The sequence below is a fragment of the Homo sapiens genome, chromosome 2 (genome assembly GCF_000001405.40).
Source record: "Homo sapiens chromosome 2, GRCh38.p14 Primary Assembly".
NCBI lineage: Eukaryota > Metazoa > Chordata > Mammalia > Primates > Hominidae > Homo > Homo sapiens.
Genome location: NC_000002.12, coordinates 215,274,251 through 215,284,544, shown reverse-complemented (window position 1 = coordinate 215,284,544; position 10,294 = coordinate 215,274,251). Strand labels below are relative to the sequence as shown.

The window sequence follows — 10,294 nt, the reverse complement described above, 5'->3', positions numbered from 1 at the left end:
AATACAGTTAGTAAGTGGAACAGTTGGATTTTTTTTTTAAACCCTCCAACTTCTGGACTCAAGAAATCCTCCTGCCTCAGCCTCCTGAGTAGCTAAGACTACAGTTGTGTGCCACCACACCCAGCTAACAGGTGTTTTTAAAATACGTTTTAATTATTTTGAAAGAGTTTCAAAGTTTCAGAAAAAATACAAGAAAAACACAATAAACTCTCACATACCCTTCACTCAAACTCCTCAATTGTTTTGGAACGATCAAATTGGCATGATCTTGGCTCACTGCAACCTCTGCCTCCTGGATTCAAGCGATTCTCGTTCCTCAGCCTCCCAGTTACCTGGACTACAGGCACGCACCACCACACCTGACTAATTTTTGTATTTTTAGTAGAGACAGCATTTCCTTACATTGGCCAGGCTGGTCTCGAACTCCTGACCTCAGGTGATCCACCTACCTCGGCTTCCCAAATTGCTGGGATTACAGGCATTACAGGTGTGAGCCACTGCACCTGACCTGTTTGGGTTTTTTTTGTGTGTGTGTGACAGCATCTCACTGTGTTGCCTAGGCTGGTCTCAAACTCCTGGACTCAAGTGATCCTCCTGCCTTAGCCTCCCAAGTAGCTGAGATTACAGGTGCATGCCACCGCACCTGGCAATTTAAAAGAAAAAAAAACATATTTGCTTCATCATTGGCACTCTCTCTCTCTCTCTCTATACACACACACACACACACACACACACACACACATATATATTCATTCCACAGATGTATCATGTATATTATATATTCATATATAACACATATTTTATATTTTTACCCCTAAGCCATTTGAGAATTACAAACGTGCCCTATTACCTTTTGACAATTCAGTATGTAGCTTCTAACAACAAGAGCACTCTCCCACCTAATGAGAGTTCAACCATGAAAATGAGAAAATTGGGGTTTATTCCTTACCATGTTGAGTGTTTTTTTTTTTTTTTTTTTGGTAAACTTTTTGTCTGAGAATAACATACATACAGACAAGGGCACAAATCATAAGTATACATCTGAAGGAATATCCAGCAAGTGAACACACTTGCATAACCAGCAGACAAATGAGGAAATAGATTATTATCAACATCCAAAAGCTCCCCACCCTATGTCATATCTTAGTTGCTTCCTCCTCCTCTTCAAAGGTGACCATTATCCTGATTTCCATCACCATAAATTAGTGTTGCCTGCTTTTGAACTTTATATGAATGGAATTACATACTATGTACCCCCCCTCCTTTTTTTTTAGATGGCGTTTCACTCTTGTTGTCCAGGCTGCAGTGCAATGACACCATCTCAGCTTGTCTCCTGGGTTCAAGCCATTCTCCTGCCTCAGCCTCCTGAGTAGCTGGGATTACAAGCATGCGCCACCACACCCGGCTAATTTTGTATTTTTAGTAGAGATGGGGTTTCTCCATGTTGGTCAGGCTGGTCTCGAACTTCCAACCTCAGGTGATCTGCCCGCCTCAGCCTCCCAAAGTGCTGGGATTACAGGCATGAGCCACCGCACCCGGCCCCCACTTTTTGTTTTAAAAAACAGCTTTTTTCCACTCAATATTACATATGTGAAATCTATTATTATTGCTGGAAATATCTGTAATTTGTTTATTTCTCATTGCTATACAGTATTTCTTGTGTGAACACATCCCAATTTATCCTTTCTACTGCTATTGGACATACAGATCATTCTCTGTTTTTGGCTATCAATATTTTTGTACTTTTTTGGTGCACATGTGTATACATTTCTGTTGGGTTTACTACTAGAAGTGGAATGGTTATGTGACAAGGTGTATGCAGTTTAGCTTTAGTACCTCCTGTACTGCCAAATAATTCCCCAGAGTGATTGTACACAATCTTCAGCAGTATATGAGAGTTTCATTTGCCTCATATCCTTACCAGCACTAAATGTTATCATTATTTTTTATTCTAGCCCTCTGGTGGGTGAACAGTTTTTCTCGTTGTTGTTTTCTTTTTTTTTTCTTTTCTTTTTTTTTTTTTGAGACAAGAGTCTCGCTCAGCTGCCCAGGCTGGAGTGCAGTGGCACAATCTTGGCTCACTGCAACCACCATCTCCGGGGTTCAAGTGATTCCCCCATCTCAGCCTCCCGAGTAGCTGGGGTTATAGGCACCAACCATCATGCCCAGCTAATTTTTGTATTTTAGTAGAGACAGGGTTTCACCACATTGGCTGGTCTTGAACTCCTGACCTCAGGTGATCCACCTGCCTCGGCCTCCCAAAGTGCTGGGATTACAGGCGTGAGCCACCATGCCCAGTCTCATTGTTGTTTTAATTTGAATACCCTATGGCTAATGAGGTTAAGTATCCTTTTATATACTTACATACTACTTGAATATACTCTTTTGGGATGTGCTTGTGAAGTGCTAGATTTTAAATATCCTTACCTGACCCCAAAGTTGATTTTTTAAATTTATTTTTCTAAATTCTTCATATACGTCATGAAATAAGTAAAGTTTTACTTGGGAGAGATGAACTATGCTGTAACTGTACCAGCATCAGTTGTTTTAGTTATCTATTTATCACTGCACACAGAGCAAATTACTCCAAAACTTACTGGCTTCAAACAATAATAAACATTTATGATAGCATAAATTTCCTGAAGGTGAAGAATCCGGGGGCACATTAGGTCATTCTGGCTCAGGATCTCTCATGAGGTTAACAGTCAAGATGCCAGCTGGGGCATTTGAGAGGGGCTGGAGGACTTGCTTCAAGATGGCCGACTCACATGGCTGGTAAGTTGATGCTGGCTGTTGGCAGGAGGCCTCTGGTCCTTACCACATGGCCCTCTCCACAGAGCTGCTTGAGTGTCCTCACAACACGGTGGTTGGCATCCACTAGAGTGAGTGACCCAAGAGAAAGCAAGGTAGCAGCTGCAATGCATTTTATGACCTAGCCTTAGAGGCCATACTACATCATTTTCCCAGTATCCCATTGGCTACACAGGTTAGCCTTACTGAATATGGGAAGGAAACTACACAAGGGCCATCTTGGGGATTAGCTGCTACACTTGTCATTATAAACTTCATTGCCCAAGCTCTTTTAAAAATGTAAATAGAAGGAAAATTACACTTTTTAAAAATTATGTTTTTTGAGACAGTCTCAATCAGTCTGTTGGCCAGGCTAGAGTGCAGTGGCACGATCCTGGCTCACTGAAACCTCTACCTCCTGGGTTCAAGCGATTCACCTGCCTCAGCCTCCCAAGTAGCTGGGATTATAGGCGCATACCACCACACCTGGCTAATTTTTGTATTTTTAGTAGAGACGAGGTTTCACCATGTTGGCCAGGCTGGTCTCAAACTCCTAACCTCAAGTGATCTGCCCGCCTCAGCCTTCCAAAATGCTGAGAATATAGGTGTGAGCCACTGCACCAAGCCTGAAAATTCTTTACCATCAAGAATGAACTTGAAGAAAGATTATTCATTTAATACATGTGTATTCTAATGGAATACATTCTCTGTTTTTGGTTATCAATATTTTTGTGCATTTTTTTGGGTGCACATATGTATACATTTGTGTTAGGTTTATTACTAGGAATAATAATTTCCTAGTTTACTCCTAGGAATATTTATTAGTTTATTCCTAGTTTATTCATATAAATTCTTAGTAGTTTATTACTAGGAATAATGGAAAATGTAATTAATTGATTTTAGGATCAGCAACTTGTATTGCTTACCAGTGTTTCAGATGTTTTTGAAAGTAAATGGATTTGGATAATTATCATAGTTTGTTTTACCCCTGTCTCTATATAAGGAGTGCCTTCTTAAATATACTTATAAGAATATTGATTAGAACTTCAGAAGTCATGTATTTAAGATTGTAAAATTGGTTGCATATGTTGTTTTAGTCTGCTTGGGCTGCCATAACAAAATACCACAGACTAGGTTCCTAAAACAACATAAATTTATTTTCTCACAGTTCTGAAAGCTGGAAGTCTGAGAACAGGATGCCAGCATGACTGAGTTTTGGTGAGGACTCTCTTCCTGGCTTGCAGCCAGCCAGCTTCTCACTGTGCCCCACACTGGCCTTTCCTTGGTGCACATATATGAAGAGAGAAAATAAGAACTCTTTCCTCTGTCTTTCTCTTCTCATAAAGCTTTAAGTTCTATGGGATTAGGAGCCTATATGACCTCCTTTAGCCTTAATTACCTTCTAAAAACCCTGTCTCTAAATATAGTCATGTTGGGGGTTAGGGCTTTGACATAGAGATTTTGAGGGGACATGATTCAGTCCATAGCACGCATAAGCATGTCTCAGGTTCTCCTCTCCTCTCTTTTCCTCTCTCTCATCTTTGGTGATATAAGGAACAAACAGATTTGTGAATATGAAAGTATTTTTCAGTACAGTCATCACCTCTACAGAAGACTGGCCATCAGCAGCTACTTTTCTAGGTTAGTTGTGGAGTAACAGATGAACAAAGGGGAAAAGGTGAAAATGGATGGTGAACCTGGGCAGGTCAGAGCAATGCATACTAAAGGTTTAATTTCTTGGAAGACTTGTGCAAAGTGTTTCCTTCTTTCCTTCCCTTTCTTCCTTCCTTCCTTTTCCTTTCCTTTCTTTTTTCCTTCCTTCCCTCCTTCCTTCCCTCCTTCCTTCCCTTCCTTCCTTCTTTCCTTCCCTCCCTCCCTCCTTCCTCCCTCCCTCCCTTCCCTTTCCTTCCTTCCCTCCCCTTCCCTTTCCACCTCCCTTCCCTTCCCCTCCCCTCCCTCCCTCCTTCCCTCCGTCCCTCCTTCCCTCCTTCCTTCCTTCCCTCCCTCCCTTCTTCCCTCCTTCCTTCCTTCCCTCCCTTCCTCCCGTTTTCCTTCCCTCCTTCCCCTCCTTCCTTTTTTCTATCTTTCACTAAGTGAACCAGTCATCTTTCAATTTTTTTTTTTTTTCTTGAGACAGAGTCTCGCTCTGTCGCCCAGGCTGGAGTGCCGTGGCGGGATCTCGGCTCACTGCAAGCTCCGCCTCCTGGGTTCACGCCATTCTCCTGCTTCAGCCTCCCAAGTAGCTGGGACTACAGGCGCCCGCCAACACGCCTGGCTAATTTTTTTGTATTTTTAGTAGAGACGGCGTTTCACCGGGTTAGCCAGGATGGTCTCGATCTCCTGACCTCGTGATTCGCACATTTCGGCCTCCCAAAGTGCTGGGATTACAGGCGTTAGCCTCCCACGCTGGCCTCATCTTTCAATTTTTAACACATCTGAGGAATATGAATAATTCCAAGTGAAGTAGACATTCATAAAATGCTTTTGTTCTTCCATCATTTAAATCCAAACTTTTCCATGCTGTCTTATTATGTTGGTGCAAAAGTAATTGCGGTTTGTGCCATAACTTTCAAGGTCAAAAACCGCAATTACTTTTGCAGCAACCTAATAGTTTGCTTACAGGAATCTAACAGTCGTTATTCTCTTGGTCAAATTGAAAGCTGAAAAATAATCTTTAAAATATAGATCTCTATGTTTATTTCAAGTCTTCTTGGCATTTTCTAAATTAAATAATTTCATAAAACTAGACCAAAGCTGTATGAGCTAAGATATTTATCACAGTATCAAAATAATTAACATTTACTGAGAAAAGTCAGACACTGTGATGCACTGTTTTATATGCATAATCTTTATTTACTATCACAACCACCCTATGAAGTAGCTTGTATAATAATCCCAATTTTTACAGATGAGAAAATTGCACTTTAGAGAGAGTACGTAACTTGACTAAAGTCACATAGCTAATAAGTGGCAGAGCCAGCCAGGACTTTTTTTCTTTTGTTTGTTTGTTTGAGACAGGGTCTTGCTCTGTGGCCCAGACTGGAGTGCAGTGGCACAATCTCTGCTCACTGCAACCTCTGCCTCCTAGGTTCAAGCGATTCTCCTGCCTCAGCCTCCAGAGTAACTGGGATTACAGACACATGCCACCATGCCCAGCTAATTTTTTTTTTTTTTTTTTTTTTTTTAGTAGAGACAGGATTTCACCATGTTGGTCAGGCTGGTTTCAAACCCCGACCTCAAGTGACCCACCTGCCTCGGCCTCCCAAAGTACTGGGATTACAGGCATGAGCCACCACCGCGCCTGGCCCAGGACTTTATGTATGTGTGTGTGTATATATATATATATATATATATATTTTTTTTTTTTTTTTTTTTTTTTAAGGCAAAGACTCGTTCTGTCTCCCAGGCTGGAGTGCAGTGGTGCAATCTTGCCTCACTGCAACCTCCACCTCCTGGGTTCAAGCAATTATCATACCTCAGCCTCCCAAGTAGCTAGGACTACAGGCATGCACTACCACACCCAGAATTTTTATATTTTTAGCAGAGACAGGGTTTCACCCTGTTGACCAGGCTTGTCGGAAACTCCTGACCTCAAGTGATCCACCCACCTCGGCCTCCCAAAGTGTTGAGATTATGGGCGTGAGTCACTGCACCCACCACCAGCCAGGACTTTAGAGTCAACAAGTCAAGTCTTTCTGACTCTAAAAGCTCTTCTTAACCTCTAGAAAAAGTAAATATTCAGCAATAGGAAACTCCTCACATCTATTATAACTTCAATATAACAGAATATTATGCAGCCATTGCAAATTATGTTCTTGGTTAATTTTTATTGACTAGAAAATGCTTATATTTTAATAGCAAACAAAAGAATAAGCAAGGTGCTGTGGCTCATGCCTGTAATCCCAGCACTTTGGGAGGCCAAGGTGACAGATAACTTGAGTCCAGATGTTCAAGACCAGCCTGGGCAACATGGTGAAGCTCCGTCTCTACAAAAAATAAAAAAAATTAGCTGGGCGTAGTGGTACATGCCTGAAGTCCCAGCTATTCCAGAGGGTGAGGTGGGAGGATCACCTGAGTCCAGGAGATGGAGGCTGCAGTGAGCCATGATCATGCCAGTGAACTCCAGCCTGGGTGACAGAGCAAGACCCTGTCTCAAAAGCAAACAAACAAAAAAATAAGATTCACACTAATGCATACATTATTATCTCAGCTATGTAGAAATATAAACATTTATGAGCTGGGTGCGGTGGCTTATGCCTGTAATCCCAGCACTTTGGGAGGCCAAGGCAGGTGGATCACGAGGTCAGGAGATCGAGACCATCCTGGCTAACATGGTGAAAACCCATCTCTACTAAAAATACAAAAAATTAGCCAGGCGTGGTGGCAGGCACCTGTAGTCCCAGCTACTCGGGAGGCTGAGGCAGGAGAATGGTGTGAACCCAGGAGGCGGAGCTTGCAGTGAGCTGAGATTGCACCACTGCACTCCAGCCTGGGCAACACAGTGAGACTCCGTCTCAAAAAAAAATAAAAAAAGAAAAGAAATATAACCATATATGAATACCCATAGAAAAAATGGGAAATAGTATATACAAATATTAGGATTGCTTTATTTAAATGTGGTATGATTATGAATGATTTTGCTTTCTTATTACATATTTCTGTAATGAACATGTATTACTTTTATAATCAGGGAAAAGATAACAGAAATTTTTAATACTTATAATATGAGGGAGGAAATATAAAGACTTGGTTTTTATGATTAGAGAAATAAGTCCATTTAATAACTGCTGTATCCATGAAGTGCAAAACCTTCAATATGCGATCTGTTTCTGACATGATGGCTATCAGATACTCAGATACATACAAAGTAATATTCTCTTGCTTGCTGAATTCTCTTATTCTTTCTGCCTTATGTTGGAGATAAAGTAGAAAGTGTGTGTTTCTCATTGGGAAGTTGGCACTTGAATGAGACTGCCGCTTTTCTCAGCTTAAAAAAGATAAAAGGAGTTATCAAGTAATGTTTTCTTTCACCTAAGGATGTTGGTCCCACTCCAACAATTGGAATTGATTGAACTCCTGTGCTTGCAAATTTAAAAGCCTTTTACACAGGGGATCTACTCACTCAGAATTTTACAAATCAGTGGATGAACTCAAAACAAAAACCCATTACAGGGCACCTTAATGTTTATCTGTTTGGCAAGATAAACACTTGTAAACAAGCACTTTCAACTGTGAGCTTCGATAATAACACTATGAGATCTGTACTGGATGTTAAAAATTTACATACAACTGTAAAGATAGGACAAACCTAAAGAAGAAAATTGCTTTTTTAAAATTAAGTTTTCTGATCCATATTCTTAATTACATTGTATTTCATTTATCTAGACCACAGCCACTTCTCTTGACTTTTTCCTTGATAGCATTTTTATTATTGCCTATGGAACGTAACATTGCATGACACAAGTATGCCATTGGTATTTGATTAAATAGTACTGCTTCCTGAAAGCCTGGAAACCTTCAATCAGGCAAAAGAAATGATATTAAATAGCCTTATGTCTGATGAACATAATAACTGCTAATTAATTTGTTATTTAGCCCTGAAATTGTCAAACCTAAATGTGCTTTTTTTTTTTTTTTGAGACAGGGTCTTGCTCTGTCACCCATGCTGGAGTGCAGTAGCTCAATCATAGCTTACTGCGGCTTCAAACTTCCAGTATTAAGCAATCCTCCCACTTCAACCTTCTGAGTAGCTGGGACTACGAGTGTATACCACCATGCCCAGTTAAATATGTATATATATGTATATGTGTGTGCGTGTGTGTGTGTGTGTGTGTGTGTGTGTGTATACATATTTTGACAGGGGACAGAGTCTCTGTCTCCCAAGCTGGAATGCATTGGTGCGATCTTGGCTCACTGGAACTGCCATCTCCTGGGTTGGAGCAATTCTCCCGCCTCAGCCTCCTGAGTAGCTGGGATTACAGGTGTGTGTCACCATGCTCGGTTAATTTTTTGTATTTTTGATGGATGATGGGATTTCACCATGTTGGCCAGGCTGGTCTCGAACTCCTGACCTCAAATGATCCACCCGCCTCAGCCTCCCTAAGTACTGGGATTACAGACGTGAGCCACCACTCCCGGCCCAAATCTAAATCTTGACATTAAATTTAGACTTCAGAGTTTCATTGAGATTAATCAAACTTGAAATAAACTTTAAGAAAGATCATATCCAGGTAAAATCAGTTCTTTTGTCTAAAAAAATTAGTTATTACATTTCAACCAACAGACCAAAGGGCCTTAACCTCTAGATCAGTGCTTGACAAATTACTGATGGATCAGTCCCCAACAAAACACACACAATTTGTTACAGACCAATACTTTGATAAAACTGAAGAAGCAAAACAATGGAAAATGAAAAAGTCATGCAAAATAGAAACACATTTATAAATGATTAGTTTCAACAGATACACAACTATTGTCAAACTTTTCCAAATGTTTTAAATCCTTACTCTCATTTTCTGTGCTTTACTTGCCATGAACCAATAACAAACAATTCTGAGAGCCATGCAGATCACGGACCACATTTTGAGTAGCGCTGCTGTCGGCTCCCTGCTCACCTTAAAGTCCCATATGTTGCTGTTTGTCTTTGGCTGAGAATCTGATTAGGTAATGGAATGAGGCTGACTTCCTTATCTTCACCTGCAACTCCCCTTGAGTAGGTTTGCAGATTGTAATTATACCTGTGTGGTATCAAGATCTTTCACCTGTAGGGTCCTGATGCAACTGAGGTATTTATAAACACCGAGGCAAGTTCCCAGGGTTCAGCTGCCCGTGGTTTCAGGTGATGACTCCGCTGGGCAAATGTCAAGGACCTCCGTGAACAGCATAACCAGCTGAACCAGAGGGAAATTTCCCCAAATGTTTTACTCATATATAGGTGAAATAGCTAGTAGTTCCCGCACTGTGTATGATCATCAGAATCATAACAATGCAGTTTTAAAAATATGTTAGAACCAACTATAACTGCTGACTCTATTATTGTTCAAACTATTTCTAAGCGTTTTCTCCCCTCCTCATTGGTTGATTCCAACACCACAGGGAATGGAGGCTGCCCACAGCCAGAGTCTTTAGGGAAAGGATAGAGTCAGACTGCTCGGTCTTTCCTATCAGCAGAAGGCCACACTGGCTGCTGTGCTGTTCTGGGCATAGTCAGCATGATGATTGCTTTGAGAGATTTAGAATTGGCATTTCTTTAGCTGTTGCGCCTTCTTTCACACCAGCTGAACAACAGTTCTTAAAATGTGGCCCAGAGACTCCTACAACCATTTCAGGAGGTCTGCAAGGTAAAAGATCTTTTCATAGTAGTACTAATGTTATTTGCTTTTTTCACTCCCATTCTTTCATGAATGGGGTTTACAGTGGCTCCATAACGTGTAATGATATCATTGTTCCGATGCTTAATGGAATGTGTGCTTCTGTGCTCTTCGTGTATTCTTGTAATACCAAT

General features: G+C 41.0%; 1 long non-coding RNA gene across 1 annotated transcript; it reads right to left on the bottom strand.

The window, feature by feature from the left end:
* Positions 1 to 6,597: 6,597 nt before the first annotated feature.
* Positions 6,598 to 9,555, bottom strand: LINC02862 (long intergenic non-protein coding RNA 2862). The gene is made up of 3 exons (NR_174956.1): positions 9,405 to 9,555; positions 6,862 to 6,937; positions 6,598 to 6,776 (listed from the first exon to the last, which is right to left on the bottom strand). It is a non-coding gene; the product is annotated as a long intergenic non-protein coding RNA 2862 (long non-coding RNA).
* Between the last annotated feature and the right edge of the window lie 739 nt (positions 9,556 to 10,294).